The sequence below is a fragment of the Homo sapiens genome, chromosome 7 (genome assembly GCF_000001405.40).
Source record: "Homo sapiens chromosome 7, GRCh38.p14 Primary Assembly".
In the NCBI taxonomy this organism is placed as follows: Eukaryota; Metazoa; Chordata; class Mammalia; order Primates; family Hominidae; genus Homo; species Homo sapiens.
This window is the reverse complement of record NC_000007.14, coordinates 96,262,658-96,281,551: the sequence shown is the minus strand read 5'-3', so window position 1 is coordinate 96,281,551 and position 18,894 is coordinate 96,262,658. Positions and strand designations below refer to the sequence as shown.

General features: G+C 39.5%; 1 protein-coding gene across 7 annotated transcripts in view; it reads left to right on the top strand.

Moving 5' to 3' along the window:
- The window catches only part of SLC25A13 (solute carrier family 25 member 13), a 201,879-nt gene that overhangs the window by 40,547 nt on the left and 142,438 nt on the right, over positions 1-18,894 (top strand). For all 7 annotated transcript variants that reach the window (NR_027662.2, NM_014251.3, NM_001160210.2 and 4 more), the window contains one exon: positions 4,214-4,356. Coding sequence is in view for 6 of the 7 variants with exons in the window: in NM_014251.3 (NP_055066.1) it covers positions 4,214-4,356 (143 nt within the window). In the remaining variant the exon portion in view is untranslated. The remainder of the gene's footprint in view (positions 1-4,213; positions 4,357-18,894) is intronic.

Here is an 18,894-nt window from a genome sequence, read left to right as displayed (position 1 = left end):
TATGTTAAAACTAACTGTATGTAAGTTTTGCCTGTTTATTTCACTTTGCGTGAATGGAATTATACGCTAGGTTTTCTTATGTTTCTTTTCTTTTACCCTTAGGATTCGTCTGTTGTCATATGTAGTTGGAGTTAGTTTATTCTTTTTTTTTTTTTTTTTTGAGATGGAGTTTTGCACTTGTTGCCCAGGCTGGAGTGCAATGGGGCGGTCTCAGCTCACTGCAACTTCTGCCTCCCGGGTTCAAGCGATTCTCCTGCCTCAGCCTCTTGAGTAGCTGGGATTACAGGCCTGTGCCACCATGCCTGGGTAATTTTTGTATTTTTAGTACAGACGGGGTTTCACCATGTTGGCCAGGCTGGTCTCAAGCGCCTGACCTTAGGTGATCCACCTGCCTTGGCTTCCCAAAGTGCTGGGATTACAGATGTGAGATGCCGTGCCCAGCTGGAGTTAGTTTTTTCTCATTGCTGTGTTGTATTCCATTGTGTGAATTCACCACAAGCCATTAATGTATCCTACTATTGGTTGACATTTGTGTTATTTTTAGTTTTTTGGATACTACAAATAATGCCGCTGTGGGCATTTTCACATAGTTTTTGTGTATATGCACACTTCTGTTGGTGATATACTTCTGATTGAAATTGGTGGGCTTGTGGTTGTATGTTCAGCTATAGCAGATACTGCCCAGCATTTTTCTAAAATGGTTTACTCCTTTATTCTCATACCATCAGTGTGTGAGAGTAACATTTGCTCCACATTTTTGCCATCACTTATTATTCTTTTTCGTTATCTTGGGGGTATGGCATGGTATTGCATTGTAGGCTTTTTGTTTTATGTTTTGAGACAGGGTCTCACTTTGTTGCCCAGGCTGGAGTATAGTGATGCAAACATGGCTCACTGCAGCCTCAATCTTTTGTGCTCAAGCGATTCTCCTGCCTCAGTCTCCCAAGTAGCTGGGACTACAGGTGCACGTTACCCTACCTGGTTAATTTTTTATTTTTTGTAGAGATGGAGTTCCGCCATCTTGCCCAGGCTGGTCTTGAACTCCTGGGCTCAAGCGATCTGCCCACCTTGGCTTCCCAAAGTGCTGGGATGACAGGCATGAGTCAGTGTGCCCTGCCTTGCATTGTTTTATTTTGCATTTCAGTGGAATTTTTTTAGGGAGCAGCAACTTGATAATGATTCTAAAGGTCATTTGTGGAAAATCAAGGAGTGATCATGGCCAAAAAAATTTCCAAGTGTAAAATAATTCAATGTCTTTTTTAAACCTTTCATTCTTTTAAAAAAATATTTATTTGAACATGTTTCACTATCTACCAGGTACTAGTCTGGGAATTTGAGGACACAGCAGTAAAAATGAGAGAAAAAAAATTCTGTCCTAACAGAACTTTCCCTCTAGTTATAGCATGTAATCTTGCAAGAGTAGACGAGACAATTGAAAAGGATGGTCCTGAAACATCTCTGACTGCAGTGATGACAAGAGCTGTCATTCGATCCCAGCATTCTCCCATGGAGCGTAGGTCAGCCTCAGAATACATGTTGGCCCTAGGAAGCCTTTGCCAGTTCATCAGAACTGGTACTGCAGATGGAGCCATTTTGTCACGCCTTTCCCTGGTGACCATATGATAATTAAGTATGTGATAAACATGGCATCCTAAAGACCTGGAAGAGAGAATGATTTGCTTTGTGTTCGTGGGACAACCAAGAGATTAAGTGGAAAAATTAAAGTTGGGGGATTCTTACCTTAGATCACACACAAAGATAAAGTACTAATGTACTAAAACTTAAAGGTAAAAGATAAACCTACTTTAAAAAAACTCAGATAAACTCTCTGATATTTAGTCTTGAAATGAAGAAAGACTGGTGATATGGCTTGGCTGTGTCCCCACCCAAATTTCACCTTAAATTGTAATAATCCCCACATTTAAAGGGTGGAGCCAGGTGGAGATCATTGAGTCATGGGGGTGGTTTCCCTCATACTGTTCTCGTAGTAGTGAATAAGTCTCATGAGATCTGATGGTTTTATAAATGGGAGTTCCCCTGCACAAGCTCTCTTGCCTACCGCCATGTTAAGATGTGACTTTGCTCCTCATTCGCCTTCCACCATGATTGTGAGGCCTCCCAGCCATGTGGAACTGTGAGTCCATTAAACCTCTTTTTATTTATAAATTACCCAGTCGCAGGTATGTCTTTATTAGCAGTGTAAGAACAGACTAATACAGCTAGTGTCTAAGCTTAGAAAAGTAATGGAAGAAATTTCAAAGGAGAAAAAAATTCTATACACTCAATTATATAAAAATATCAAACTGGAAAAATATTTGCAACAAATATAATAGACCAAAGTGAGTAAAGGGCATGTTCACACACTGTTGGTGGGAGTGTAAATTGGTACAATCTTTTCCGGAGAGCAGTGTGATAATAAGTACCAAGAGCCCAGAAGTTCCTCTCCTTTGACTCAACAATTTCTCTTCTGGGAGCCTAGCCTTTGAAAATTGCCAGGAATTTGGACAAATGTTATATTCAAAGCTTACTACCTTAGCTTTATTTAAAAATACAAAAAACTGGAAATGTCTACTGGTAGGAGAAAAGTTAAATTGTATAGTAAAATAAATTATTCACTATCAGGGGCAAACTTAGGTATAATTACTAAGTCATAAGATTGCTGTAATTAGCAGTGATATTTCCTTTATATTTTCATCTTGTTTTGGCTCAGTTAGGAAAATCAAAATATAATTCTTTACATGTCCAAAAAGCCGAATTAAATGCTAACTGAAGAATAGTAGGATCACTGGGGCATCTTTGAGCCTTTCCCTTGTAGTGTGCTAAAAAAAATGTTAACTGTAAGACAATACTATAGAACATTTATTTAATATAAAGTACTTATTGTGTATAGGGCGTTGTGCTAAGTATATGACATGAGTATCTCATTTAAATATTTCTAGCATCAGTCTTATGAAGCTGTAATGTTATTCTATTCATTTTGCAAATGAGGAACCAGAGGTACCAAAAGCTTTAGTTACTTACCTGAGGCCATTCAAGTGGTAAGAGGCACAGTCCAGACCCGTGGGATGCCAAAGCATATTACTACTGAGTATCTGAGCAAAGCCTTAGTCTGCATTGGAATTAAAATGTAGAAATAACAAGTGACTTTTAAAAACAGTTTTAATCAGGTTTAACTCAGATTAGAGAGAGAGGGGAGACACTGCCCTGGCACTTCACTGCGCACCCTCCATCACTATGGCTACCAGTGTGGTTCTTATCACCCAGCTAGGCTTGTTCTTGTAGATGCACTATCCTTGCCTCCTCAGTCCCCAAACCACTGCTTTGTCCCCAGGATCAAGAGGCCGTCTCCTGCTTCATAAGGACACCACATGATCCCATGTCGTTTCTCAGCATTTCTGCCCTTAGGGCTCCATGCAACAGAAATTAATGGGCTCTCTCTTATCCAGGCTGGAGTGTATCACATTAAAGGCCAGACCTAGGAGAACACTGTGAGGAAGCGTTGTTTGCCACCTAATTCTTACTGAGCATTTCTGCATGGTAATGCCTTAGAATGGAGAGGACAGTAACTAGAGCAGCATTTACTGCCTCCCTCCATAAGATTGCCCAAGATGACACGCACTTAGTAGTTTGCTGTCCAGCTTAGCTTGTTTGCCATCCTTTCTTGTATCATTGATGCTCTTAAAGCAGGAATGGGGCAAAGGAATTAGGTTGTTTGCCTCCATGACTTCGTAATTCCACTTTTTTTTTTTTTTTAAAAAGCTATGTGCCTTTGCTAAAAAACAAGACATAGTTTGTCTTTCCAAATTTCTATAAACCAGGGTTTCTGAACCTGGACACTGCCCACACTTTGGGCTGGAGAACTGTCTGTTGCAGGGAGTCATCCTGTGTATTGTTGGATGTCTAGCAACATCCCTGGCCTCTACCTGCTGGAGCCAGTAGCACCCTTCCTCACATGTTATGACAATCTTAATTGCCATCAGATATTGCCAAGTGTCCCTGTGGGAAAACATTGCTCCCAGTTAAGTTTATAAACATAAAACTTGACTTGTTTTTTCTTTGAACTGTTGGGAGATAATGGTCATTATGAAGCGTACATGATCATATCTGATATTTTATCGTTTGGATATTTTCAACTTTTTCACATATCACTCTCATGATTATATACTGTTGAAAATCAAATATATAAAATACTGTTTTTCTTTTTTTTAAACAGTATGCAAGCATTGAGAAAAACGGTGAATTTTTCATGTCCCCCAATGACTTTGTCACTCGATACTTGAACATTTTTGGAGAAAGCCAGCCTAATCCAAAGACTGTGGAACTTTTAAGTGGAGTGGTGGATCAGACCAAAGATGGGTATGTTTATTTTTAATTATTTTATTTAATTCTTTTTGTTTGAAACAGCTTTCTTTTGCTCTAATGACCAGGAAGTCATTAAATGTATACCTTCCCATCTCTTAGGACCATTTTCTGTACTTACTACTATTATTATTACATTATTTGAGTAATAATGTAGTTCCTTCAATCATTGTTTCAAGTTGGGGATTCAATATGTATATATTTGACTCTTTTAAAGAATGCTTTATCGTATCAGAGAACTATTATTGTCAACAAGGTGGTGATGTGCAGATGTATGAGAGTATTTATATGCCTTTGGTATTTTTCAAGGCAGCTGTAAAATTGTGAGTAAATGTACAACATAGCTCTATGAACGTTACTTTTCTATAATCTTTCTTTCTGAGCAAATCGCCTTTAAAAATTCACAGGTGATTCCAAAGCCCCAAGAAAGGCACTCTGCAAAAGCTAGAGGAAAGAAACTGTACCATATAGAATCAAATAGGACACGTTGCAGAATGCCTTTGGATTCTTTTTTTCCCTACCAGTCTTCTCTGCTTCCATTTTGTTGGAACTTTTTTCCCTCCTTCTTTTGAGGCAGGTTCTCACTCTGTTGCTCGGGCTGGAGTACAGTGGCATGATCTTGGCTCAGTGCAACTTCTGTCTCCCAGGTACAAGCTATCCTCTCACCTCAGCCTCCTGAGTAGCTGGTATCAAAGCCGTGCGCCACCATGCCCAGCTAATTTTTGTATTTTTTTGTAGAGACGGGATTTTGCCGTATTGCCCAGGCTGGTCTCAAACTCCTGGGCTCAAGCCATCCGCTTGCCTCTACCTCCCAAAGTGTTGGGATTACAGGTGTAAGCCACTTTATCTGGCCTTCTGCTTACATTTTAAAAATGGGTTTTCCTTAAGCTGTATAAGATTGCAATGGCTTTTACCATTACACGAAGAATTTTGGACTCTGAACTCTTGCTAATCAAACACCAATGTCTGCTAATAGCCAAAGTATAATGTACAAGAACTAACCTTCTCTAGGTAAACTGTAAAGGACCTTGCCTTCTTCCTTCTCTAGGTAAACTGTAGGAGACTTTGCTTCTGTCCCTGCTGCTTGCCAGCACCCTTTTGACAGATTGCAGTTACCTATCACTCTGAGGTGGAGTTCTCTAGCTCTGAATTTTCTCTATTTATTGGAATCTTCATGTGTCTGATTTTCCCACATGCAGCAGTTTGAGATATAACCCATGTATAATGTCTTTATGTACTTCGAATACTCTCAGTTTTCACTAGCACTTTCCTTTTCTTATTTATGCACTTGTCACCCAATTTTTTTATTATACTTTAAGTTTTAGGGTACATGTGCACAATGTGCGGGTTAGTTACGTATGTATACATGTGCCATGTTGGTGTGCTGCACCCGTCAACTCGTCGTTTAACATTAGGTATATCTCCTAATGCTATCCCTCCCCACTCCCCCGACCCCACAACAAGCCCCAGTGTGTGATGTTCCCCTTCCTGTGTCCATGTGTTCTCATTGTTCAATTCCCATCTATGAGTGAGAACATGCAGTGTTTGGTTTTTTTGTCCTTGTGATAGTTTGCTGAGAATGATGGTTTCCAGCTTCATCCATGTCCCTGCAAAGGACATGAATTCATCATTTTTTATGGCTGCATAGTATTCCATGGTGTATATGTGCCACATTTTCTTAATCCAGTCTATCATTGATGGACATTTGGGTTGATTCCAAGTCTTTGCTATTGTGAATAGTGCCACAATAAACATACGTGTGCATGTGTCTTTATAGCAGCATGATTTATAATCCTTTGGGTATATACCCAGTAATGGGATTGCTGGGTCAAATGGTATTTCTAGTTCAAGATCCCTGAGGAATTGCCACACTGACTTCCACAATGGTTGAACTAGTTTACAGTCTCACCAACAGTGTAAAAGTGTTCCTATTTCTCCACATCCTCTCCAGCACCTGTTGTTTCCTGACTTTTTAATGATCGCCATTCTAACTGAACTACAAACCACTGCTCAATGAAATAAAAGAGGATACAAACAAATGGAAGAACATTCCATGCTCATGGGTAGGAAGAATCAATGTCGTGAAAATGGCCATACAAGGTAATATATAGATTCAATGCCATCCCCATCAAGCTACCAATGACTTTCTTCACAGAATTGGAAAAAACTACTTTAAAGTTCATATGGAATCGAAAAAGAGCCCACATTGCCAAGTCAATCCTAAACCAAAAGAACAAAGCTGGAGGCATCATGCTACCTGACTTCAAACTATACTACAAGGCTACAGTAACCAAAACAGCATGGTACTGGTACCAAAACAGAGATATAGACCAATGGAACAGAACAGAGCCCCCAGAAATAATGCTGCATATCTACAACCATCTGATCTTTGACAAACCTGACAAAAACAAGAAATGGCGAAAGGATTCCCTATTTAGTAAATGGTGCTGGGAAAACTGGCTAGCCATATGTAGAAAGCTGAAACTGGATCCCTTCCTTACACCTTATACAAAAATTAATTCAAGATGGATTAAAGACTTAAATGTTAGACCTAAAACCATAAAAACCCTAGAAGAAAACCTAGGCAATACCATTCAGGACATAGGCATGTGCAAGGACTTCATGTCTAAAACACCAAAAGCAATGGCAACAAAAGCCAAAATTGACAAATGGGATCTAATCAAACTAAAGAGCCTCTGCACAGCAAAAGAAACTACCATCAGAGTGAACAGGCAACCTACAGAATGGGAGAAAATTTTTTCAATCTACTCATCTGACAAAGGGCTAATATCCAGAATCTACAATGAACTCAAACAAATCTACAAGAAAAAAACAAACAGCGCCATCAACAAGTGGGCGAAGGATATGAACAGACACTTCTCAAAAGAAGACATTTATGTAGCCAAAAGACACATGAAAAAATACTCATCATCACTGGCCATCAGAGAAATGCAAATCATAACCATAATGAGATACCATTTTTTTTTTTTTAATGGAAAGAACCTCCTGTAAAATGAAGGCCTTGATGACTGGGAGGGAGCAGGCAGGGAATTAGGTGATCTACTTGTTGCAGTATTCTGGAGGATTGTTGGATTATGCCTTCTCTCTCTGTTCCAGCGGCAGAAGGTTTCCTTTTTAACCTTCTTACCTTTGTTTTCTACCCTAACCCCAAGGGGGATTCTTTGCTTGGTAGGAAAATGTAATGTATGAGCAGGGTGGTGCAGGAAAAGGCTGGGCTATATTTCACACTAGTTCATTTAAGCTGAAACTATGCAAAACACAGACTTATGCCAGCAAGCATTTTTCTGTGGAAAATCTAGTTGTTTTTTCACCTCCTAGAATGGCTCATGTTTCAGAGGAAGTGTGACCAAGTTCACATGCAACATGGATTATCTGCCTTAATATTTGAGATCAGTTTTTTGTAATTTGGAAAAATTTTAAACTACAGAAAAAAAAATCTGAGTCACAAAAAAGTTGAGAGAAGAATATGGTGAGCACACAATCTATACCCTTCACCTAGATTGACTTTTTATTAAAATTTTTACCATCTTTGTGCTGTCTTTGTACACACACATTTTCTACACACAAACACGTACACACATAATTTCTTTTTATGGTTGGAACACTTAAGTGTAAATTGTACACATCACAATATTTCAGCATTTATCTTCTGAGACTAAGAACATTCTCCTACATAACCCCCCATGCTATTATTGCACTTAGGAGAATTAATGATCATGTCAAGTATCAGCTAATGTCTATTCCATATTTAAATATACTAGAACTTTCAAGTATATTTGCAGATCTGGTGTGTTCACCTCCCTTCCCAACCTCAAATGGCTCTTTGCCTATTCTTGTTTCTTTCTTTTTTTGTTTTTTGATTGAAGATTATACTGCAGTTAGTTATGTCTCTTTTACTCTAAAACAGAACAGAAATATTATATTGTTTTTCGTGATATTGACTTTTGAAATCCAGGCGAGTTATTTGGTTGAAGGTCCTGCATTCTGGACTTGTCTGATTGTTTCCTCATTGTCTGATTCAATTCAGGATAAATTCTGGGGTATAGGTTAGGAGCTATTCTATACTACCCATTGTATCTCCTCAGGAGGGATCGTGTCCAGGTGTTGGTGATGCTGTTTGATAAGTTGGTGAAGCTGGCATCCACCTGATATTTCCATTGTAAAGGCTACATTTTGTTGTTATATGAGTAGATAATTTGTGGGATGATATGTCAAGATCACATGGATATTTTCTCCAGCAACCTTTCACCTGATGGTTTTAGCATCCATGATGATTCTTTGCTGAACCGGTTATTCTATTGATGTTTAAAAGGTGGCGATTTTTCTAATCCTATAATTTCTCCTGTATATATTGTCCAACATTCCTTGGTAAACAGAAACTTTCTTTCCTCTTCCCCCTTTTCTTTGTCTTTTAATCTTTTTTATCAACATAAATTACTGGATTTGCATACTTTAATTCTGTATTATACTCCATTACCAGTATGCCCTTACAGGCAAAGCGTCTCATAACTGGTCAGTGGGAGGGCTGGGCCTCAAGCTGGCTTCTCATTCTCAGCTTTCAGGTGCTCCTTGCTTTTGGCAAATTAGTTGTTCCAGGCTCACCTTGGACCGTTCCTGCCTTTGACCTGGAAATCACTTTTCCCCCCAACAAGAAGCTCTGATTCCTTTTATTTAGGAATGGTGCTTAGGAACAAAGCTCTGGGCACTGGCTTATTGTTACCAGGGTGTTACTGCTTCTCTGACTTTTCAGTGAAAAGAGCTGGGAAATATATAAACTTTAAAAAATTGAAAGTTCATAATAACATCTCCTTTTAAATTTAACATTACAGGATTTTTCTTTGTTTTTTAAATTTTGTGTCTCTCTCTGCGAAAATTTTGGTTGCTACATACATTAATATGTTTATGGGCCTTTATTTGATAGAATTGGAAGACCTCTGAAGGTATAAGAAAGAGCAAAAATGTTTAAAAAATAAATGAATAAATAGGCTGAGCGTGGTGGCTTACGCCTGTAATCCCAGCACTTTGGGATGCCGAGGCAGGCGGATCACCTGAGATCAGGAGTTCGAGACCAGCCTGGCCAACATGGTGAAACCCCATCTCTACTAAAAATACAAAAAAATTAGCCAGGCATGGTGGCCGTAACCTGTAATCCTAGCTACTCGGGAGGCTGAGGCAAGAGAATCGCTTGAACCCAGGAGCTGGAGGCTGCAGTGAGCCAAGATCACACCATTGCACTCCAGCTTGGGTGACAGAGCAAGACTCTGTCTCAAAAATAAAATAAAATAAAATAAATAAAATAAAATAATAAAATAAATTGGAATACCTTCTGATGTGCTTTGTGTTCTATTTTATCCCCCTTCCCATTAATAGACATGCTTTTTCTTTTTTTAAACATATAATATCCAAAAATACAGCCTTACATTTATCAGATAACAATGTGTAATATATATTTTACATATATAGTATAACATAATGTGTGTATTTTCTCAAAAGCTTGTGACAGATTTGAAAGGCCGACTTTGTTTTCTTGGTTTTATCGATGAGATAACTGAAGCTCTTGGTATTTAAGCAGTTTGTAGCTAAAAGGTGCTCAGGCCTGTCAGGTTTTAAATTCCTTGGCCTTTTCAGTGTTCTGAGCTGCCTCTTCTCATAATCTCACAGTCCTCTTTTGACATTTTCTTTTAGATTTTGTATTATCTTAAATCTCAGTGTTTTACTGTGACACAGAAAATGTTAGATGGCCTTAATCCTTTGCCCTATAACAAACCTTTTAGTTGCAAAAACTGTGAACATCTCAGTTATTTTTTTCCTTTCATTTCTAGTTGGCGTGTAGTAATTGTACATATTAGATACAGAGTGTTAGTTCAGTACATGTATATAATGTGTAATAATCAAATGAGGGTTTTATATCAATTTGTTGACTAAATTTAGTTAAGTGTACTAAGAAGCATTTTTACGAAAGCCCGGGAATAGAAGCTGTATTTTGAATTCTGTTACTCACCTTAACAGGCTGAATAATGGCCACCCAAAGAGATCTATTCCTAATCCCTGGAATTTGTAAATGTTACCTTATTTGGAAAAAGGGTCTTTGCAGATGTCATTAAATCAAGAATTTTGAGATGAAGATATTACTCTGGATTGTTTAGGTGGGCTCTAAATTCCATCACAAATGTCATTAGAAGATAGAGGCAAAGGGAGAGTTGACACAGAAACAGGGAAGAGGAAGAGACGGGGTGACCACAGAAGTAGAGGTTGGAGCGTTGCAGCCATAAACCGAGGAATGCCTGGAGTCACCAGATGCTGGAAGAGGCAAGAGGGGATTTTCCGCAAGAGCCTTTGGAGAGTCTGTGGCCGTACTGAACTCTTGATTTAGGGCTTCTCATCCCTAGAACTGTGATAGCATAAATTTTGTTGTGTTATTATGGGAATTTGTTTTGTTTATTTATTTATACTTATATTTTATTTTATTTTTAGACAAAGGGTCTTGCTCTGTTGCCCAGGCTGATCTCAAATTCCTAGGCTCAGGCTATCCTCCTGCTTTAGCTTCTGGAGTAGCAGGGATTACAGGCATGTGCCACTGAAATCAGGTATTTATATTTCTCTTTTTTTTTTTTTTGGAGATGGAGTCTTGCTCTGTTGCCCAGGCTGGGGTGCAGTGGCACGATCTCAGATCATTGCAACCTCTGCCTCCTAGTTCAAGTGATTCTCCTGCCTCAGCCTCCTGAGTAGCTGGGATTACAGGGGTCCGCCACCGTGCCCTACTAATTTTTGTATTTTTAGTAGAGACAGTGTTTTACCATGTTGGCCAGGCTGGTCTCGAACTTCTGATCTCAAGCAGCCCACCTGCCTTGGCCTCCCAAAGTGCTGGGATTATAGGTGTGAGCCACCGCACTCAGCCCCAGCTATTTATATTTTCTAATTGACAAAAGTTGAATATATTTATGATATGCAACATGATGTTTTGAAATATGTATACATTGTAGAATGGCTAAAGCAAGCTAATTAGCATGTCCATTACCTGATATACTTATTTCTTTTTGTATTGAGAACACTTAAAATCTACTCTTAGCAATTTTCAAGTATACAATATATGATTATTAAGTATAGTCAATATGTTGTACAATAGGTCTCTTGAGCTTACTCCTCTAACTAAAATTTTATATTGTTGGACCAACATCACTCCAGGGCCTTTCCCCATACTGTCCCCTTCCCCCAAGGGAGGCCCTGGCAACCACCAGTCTGCTCTCTGTTTCTATGAGTTTGACTTTTTTAGATTCCATGTGTAAGTGAGATCATGTAGTATTTGTCTTTCTGTGCCTGGCTTATTTCACTTAACATATTGTCCTTCAGGTTCATCCATATTGTCACAAGTGAGAGGATTGCCTTTTTAAAGGCTTAATAGTATTCCATTGTGTGCATGTATCACATTTTCTTCATCCGTTCATCTGTAATGGGCACTTGAGTTGATTGCATATCTTGGCTATGGTGAATAATGCTGCAGTGAACCTGTAAGTGCAGATGCCTCTTCAGTGTACCAGTTTTATTTTCCTGTTGTAATTTGTCACAGCAGCCCCAGGAAATGAATACACTCATGTAGCTGTTTTTTCCGGGACGTTAGAAAGCTTATAGTTGTGAAGAATTTTCTTTGCCAAGGGCCAGCCTGATCCGGAAAAAAACCTTTTTCTAGTGGTAGTTTTGGCTTGATCCAGACATTTTCCAGTCAGTGACCCCTGTTGTCAACTGTCTCTGTGAGGGCATGGCTGCTTCCTAAAGACTTCACCTATGTGTGGGCTGGGATGGAACTCTGGGCAGGGAATTTAAATGCCTGTGCACTTACGGCCTTAACACCTCCAGCTTGCTGAGAGAGGGATCCTGTTTTCTGTAGCACTCTTGTTTCTAGTGGAATGATGCATGAGTGCCTTGGGTACATTGGTCAGCCTTCCATGTTGGAGCTTCTCTCTGAACACTCTCCAGTTATTCAGCAGCTCTTTGGGAACCTCATCTCTGTGCTTGGCACAGTTGTGTATATTGAGGATAACATGGTGAATGGAAAAAAAAACACAGTGCTTGTTGCCCTCTTGGAGCTTCTAATTTAATGGAGCAGACAGGTATTCATCAGGGAGCCTGAAATAAATGTGAATTGATGTAGTGATACTGCTATGAAAGAGAGAGATGGTGTGAGTAACACCAAATAAGGGCTTCATTTGGACTGGGAAATTGGGAAGACTTTCCATGAGTGACATCTGAGTTGCAGGAGTTGGAGGTGGGAGTACAGAGGACAGAGAGTTGCAGGCAGAGGGAACAGCAGTTGTAAAGGTCCTGTGTTTTGAAATGCAGAGGCTGGCTTGCCTGGAGCATGGAAGTGCAGGGCATGGTGGTGGGAGAGGTGGGCTGTGCCCAGACTGTGTAGGGACTTGTACCTCATATTAAGGATTGGGGTTCTTTATCTTGAGAGTGCTGGAGAGCCATCAAAGGCTAATTTGAATGAGGGGATTGGCACGATTTGCCTGTGTAACAGCATACTTGCTGTTAATACTCTTTGTTGTGTTTAGACCTCCCTGCATTCCACTGTTTTAATCTACTTAATGATGGATTTAATCAATTTATGAAGTTCCGTAAGGGAGATGAGAGGAGACTTTGAGTGTCTAGGGCTGGAAGCCTTTTGTTTTTGGTGGGCCTTAATGAATGAAGAGGGCTTGTCCCAGCATTTGAGGAGGAGGTGGGACTCTAAGGACTTCTCAGGGCCTAGACCTTACTGTACCACGTAACTGAACTGTACCTTTTAGATTTGGTTGTGATTATTATTTTTTCATTCAAAATGAGAATAAAGCTTTGTATATCTTCTAAGTATAATTTTTATACATTGTTCATACAACTTACCTGTTAAGAGCAAGGTGAAAATTCTTCCTTTGATCTTTGCACACGTTCTATTTGTTGTTGTTACTGACTGTTATCTCGTTAAAGGGAGTCAAGGCTAAAGAACTGTCTTCACTTGTGACTGACCTTCTCACCTGGGAAGACCACATGGGACTAGAATAAGCTGGAGGTGTTGAGTGCCTGACTTACTGAGGGTTACGGGTACCAAGCACTGTCTGTGAGGTGGGCACCGGGTGGCTCAGGGATCCAGTTGGCTTGCTAGGGTCACAAAGGAATTTACCACACATATGTCTTTCATCTCCAGTGTGGAACCTCTTTGCACTCCATGTGCAAACAGAAGTTGGCACTTCTTTTGGAAAAGGGAATGTTAGATATCTCAGTTTGCTAGTGATGAAGCTGACAGATTCACCATACCGCCTTGTCAGCCCCCTGCCACTTTGTTGTACCAAAATGACAGCAATATAATCAAACCCTTAATTTTTTTTTTTTTTTTTGAGACAGAGTCTCAGGCTGGAGCACAGTGGGATGATCTCAGCTCACTGCAACCTCCCTTACTGGGCTCAAGCAATTCTCCTGCTTCAGCCTCCCCAGTAGCTGCGATTATAGGCATGCACCACCACACCCGGCTAATTTTTGTATTTTTAGTAAAGACGGGGTCTCCCCATGTTGGTCAGGCTTGTCTGGAATTCCTGACCTCAAGTGATCCACCTGCCTCAGCCCTCCCAAAGTGCTGGAATTACAGACGTGAGCCACTATGCCCGGCCTCAGATAATTCCTTTCTGTTCAGAGTAAAGAGATTGAGTCCTGGGACAGTTCCTGTTTTGATGCATGAAGAATAAAGGCATCAAAGAAGAAAAGATGAAAAAGAAATCTAAAGTTTAGAAATATGTGGCCTATATAAATAAAGCATGTTCTCTGCCTTTCCTATGTTTGCTATTCTTTTTCTGAGGAAAGAATATATGGCCTTTTAAAGATTTCACAAGGTGAAGGAGGATATAATAATGTTGATGATAAAATCATTTTTATATACCTGTTTTCATTTTGTGAGGCTGTCGTGATGAAATCCAGGCCTTGGCCACATGCTGGGAGTTAATGAGGTTTACAATTGGCAATACTTAAAGAATATTAGGGTAATATATTTAAACATCAGCAGTTCACAGCCTGAAGTGCTCATCATCTGTCAAGTTATAATACAGAATCAATAAGGGGAGGTCTTTCAATTTGCTAATGAGGAAAGTTTTCTATACTATTAGGGTAGACATAGATTTCAGATAAACATCTAAAATTCATAAACTATAGAATTTGGCGAAAGCATCTCTTCGATTAAAAAGAAACCTTGATAATAATCAATAGCAGTCACCTGAGAAGCTTAGATTTTCTTCTTAGTCATCAGACTCCCAAATTAATCTACCAAAACAAAAAGCCTCATTAACAGCTCTCATTGAATCAGTGTTATTTTTTCCTTTCTCTCAAGGTGTCTGATTAACCCCCTTTCTTTTTGCATTACTCACTTTGTGTTAATATTTGATGTCTGAAATCATGGGGCAGGGGAGGGGTTGTGCAATGTGGTGGCTAGACACTGTCTACAAGCAGTAAATTAAAAAGAATTTTTAAAAAGGTTTGTATTATGTTGCTGATGTATTAGAAAATCTCTAGGAATGTCAGGTGCCTGGGTTTTCTTTTTCTTTTTAATTTCAGAAAGGGTTGATTGCTGATTGGGTGCTGATTTTGCTTCTCATTCATATGTACAGATAGCGCTCCTCCTCCTCTTACCCAGCTCCTCTTGCTTACCAATCCAAGCCTTCTTTTGGAGAGTTTTATTGAAAAGGAAAGGTGAGAAATAAGGCCATAACTGGAGGGAAAAGGGAGGTTGAAGGAGGGTCTTTTCTAGGTGAATGCCAATGGGAAAGACTCACTTGAGAGTAGATAAGATTGACAATGTAGGAGAGAAAGGAAAGACATTCTGGAGCATTGTCTAGGAGGTTGGCCTCTTGTAAGAGCATGGAGAGTTCATCCAGAACACCTGACCTCAAAGTGTAGCCAGTGGACTCCTGGAAGTCCCTGAGAACTTTTCAGAAGTCCAGGAGGTCAAAACTATTTGCACAGTAGTAAAAGCATGATCTACCTTTTTCACCATGTTGATATTTGAGCTGAGGTTTCTAAAAGCAATAGTGCGTAAAACTTCTGGTGTCTTAACAGCAAATAAGGTTTTGTCTGAACATTGATGTCCCTCCAAAATTCATGTTGAAACCTAACCTGCATGGTGATAGTGTGAAGAGGTAGAACTTTGGGGAGGTGATTAGGTCATGAGGGCTCTGCTCTCACAGATAGGATTAGTACCTTTGTGAAGGAGGCTTGAGGGAATCTGTTTGCCCCTTCTGCCATGTGAGGATGGAGCAAGAAGGCACCATCTATGAAGGAGAAAGCTTTTACCAGACACCAGACCTGCTGCTGCCTTGATCTTGGACTTCCCAACTCCTAGAACTGTGAGCAGTAAATTCTGTTACTTATAAATTACCAAGTACTAGGATATTTTGTTATAATAACCTGAACAGAATAAGACAGACACCAATCCAAACAGAGTAAGCAATCATTATTTTCTTCATTACACATTCATCATCTTCGTCATACTGATTCTGCTTCAGAATGTCCTTGAAGAAGCAGTCAAAATCATTGATTTTATTAAATCTTGCTCTTGATTACACAAGATTACATTTTAAAATTCTGAGTAATTAAATGGCAAGTATGCATAAAGAACTCTTTAATGTAGTATGGTGGTTGTCTGAGGAAAAGTACTTGAGCAGTTGTTTTGAATTGCTAGTTGAGCTAGTCTTCTACTAGAGGATACGGGATACCATTCTTATTTGAAAGAATGACTTTTTTGAAAGATTTAAAATTTTCATGTTTCATCTTCCTAATACTTAAAGACTTTCTGATGTCATTGGTGGTGATGTTAATGAATGTGGCTTTTAAATATAGTTTAATGAAGTTTCCTAACATTTGGATGATCTGCATAATATAGAGAAACAGTATTTTCCCAGTTGACCGGTGTGCATGGTGTTACAAAATTATGCATGGGTAACAGATAGTTTGAAAAGTGCTCATAGACCCATGAATTTTAAGGTAACAGAGAGGAGAAAAGTTCACTGATACAGTTTCAGATTGCACATTGCCACTAGTCTTTAAGAAACTTTACTTGTTGGGATTTGGTGTTGTATCAAAGAAGAACATCCCCAGTTATCTAAAAAGGCCATTAAAATACTTCTTTCTTTTCTAACTATGAATCTGTGTGAGGCTGAAATCCTTTCATATTCTTCAACCAAAACAACATATTACAGCAGATTGAATGCAGCTGTTTTCCATTAAAGTCAGACATTTAAGAGATTTGTAAAGATATAAAACTGCTTTTCTCACTAAATTTTCTGTTTTAGAAAATATAGTTCTTTGGCTGGGTGTGCTGGCTCATGCCTGTAATCCCAGCACTTTGGGAGGCTGAGGCGGGAGGATCGCTTGAGGCCAGGAGTTTGAGACCAGCCTGGCTAACATAGCGAGACCCTGTCTCTACAATTAAAAAAAAAAAGGTATAGTTCTTTTTCATACAAATATATTTATATTACCATGTAATAGAGTTACTTTTTAATGAAATAAATATTTTCTAAATTTCCCAATTTTAATTTCTAGTATGGTAAATATGATAGCTATAATCCACATAAATAAAAGCTCTGTGGGGACCTCAACAATTTATAACTGTGTTAAGAGGTCCTGAGACCTAAAATTTTTGAGAAATGCTGAGCTAGAAGAGAAGATAGAGACTAGAGTAGAGAGAGAGTGTAGATGTAGTGGTGAGATTTGGGGACAGGTTGTCTTTTGGTTTCTTTGATTTTTTTCCAGGAAATAGATGAGATGGAGGTGCAGGTTGAGGTATTGGCAGTTTGTGGAGAGAGATTCGTATACTACATAGTTATCTAGAAGTGGGAGGGTGAATGTGTGAGGAACAGCATGATGGCTGGGCAGGACCCACTTGAGTGCTTACCTGAGGATTAGTGGTCATGAAATTTAAAGTGAGACCAGTTAGTGTGGCTGTATGTTTTTCAGATAAGGCCAGTCGTTCAGGCCCAGGTAGTAAGGGTTGGATGTAGCTAGGGTTGAGGTCATGGCCACTGAATAATCCAGAGTAGGTGAGGTTCCAGGGAGGTAGGTGCAGGGGCGTGCAAGGGAGTAATTATGATGATAGACTATAGATTTAGTCTGGGCAAGGAGCAAAGAGAGGACATTGGGTAGGACGCAATGAGGGATGGTGAGAAGGTGACATGCTTAATGAATTGTGAGTTTCAGCATGGTTGAAGGTTGTTGATCAATTGGGATGTGTTTATGAGGGACTGAACAGGAAGACTAGAATATAGTGGCCATAAAGTGAGATGCATGAAATTGAGAAAAAGGAGTTTTTGGTAATGGCAAGTAAAGTCTAGAGTGTGACCATGGGAGTGAGTGGCTGAGGAAGGATGAAAGAAAGGCCATCGGAGGAGATGAGTTAATGTAATTGGAGGCCTTAGTGTTTGAAGGATCAGTATATTGAAGGATAAGTATGTTGAAAATATTGAGAACTAAGATAGAAGTTGAGAGAGTGTCATCGAGCCAAGAGCTAAAATACGGGGTGAGAGGGGAATCCAGGGTTATTAGATCACAGAAACAAGAGGTATGCTGAGTGGTATAGTCAGATGATGGGAATATTTGAATGGGTGGGGGTTAGGAAGGAGAATATGGGATCTACCCAACCTGCTTATAGGCCTGGTGCAACCTAGGACTGCAAGAGGAAAGCTCATCCCTACACGTAAGAGGGGTCTACAGTGGAAGCATTGTCCTCAAGGGACAGCCAGGTATTGGTTAGAGCAAGAAAGTGAAGAGATATTTTATGGAAGGATTGAGGAGGAGATTTTGGTCACTATACACTGAATTCTAGAGAACACAGTTGGAGGGTTTCTGGGAGATGGTGACAGAATAGGCAAAGTCCAGGGCCTCTCAGGGATTAGACGTGAGTGGTAAAGGGTAACCTGGGTGTCCGGGACTGTTGGTCAAGGCTGACATTCACGGAATAAAGAGAAGAATGCAGTTAGTCCTGGTAGACTCCAGATTGTGCCTGCTGGTTGATAGGGATCTTTGCAGAGAGGCAAGGAAGCTTGGAGAGGGGCAACTTTTATTACTTAAAGAACTTTTAAAATAAAAATATTTTGTGAGCAGTAGCTCTGCTGTTTTTTTTTTTTTTTTTTTCCTAGATGGTTGGACCAAAGGATGAAGGAAATGAATAGTTACTGAGCATATATAGGGTTCCATATCTGGTGCTAACAATTTCCACCTGTTTTCTTATTTAATCTTCATACAAGACCTTAAAATAAATATTTTCACTGCCCATATTATAAAGGGAGGTGGAGAATTAGAGAGGTTAAATAATTTGCTCAAAGTCATATAGCTAATGAGTGGTGGAACTAGCATTTCGACCCAGTTCTTTCTGGCTTGTGCTCAATCTGCTCTACCATGAAACTTTCTATGCATAGAGAAGAATATTTAAAATTGAGCTTTGCACGAGAACTTTGCTTATGTCTTTGCTTAGAAGTTCTGATGGCCTTTGCAAGATTCTTT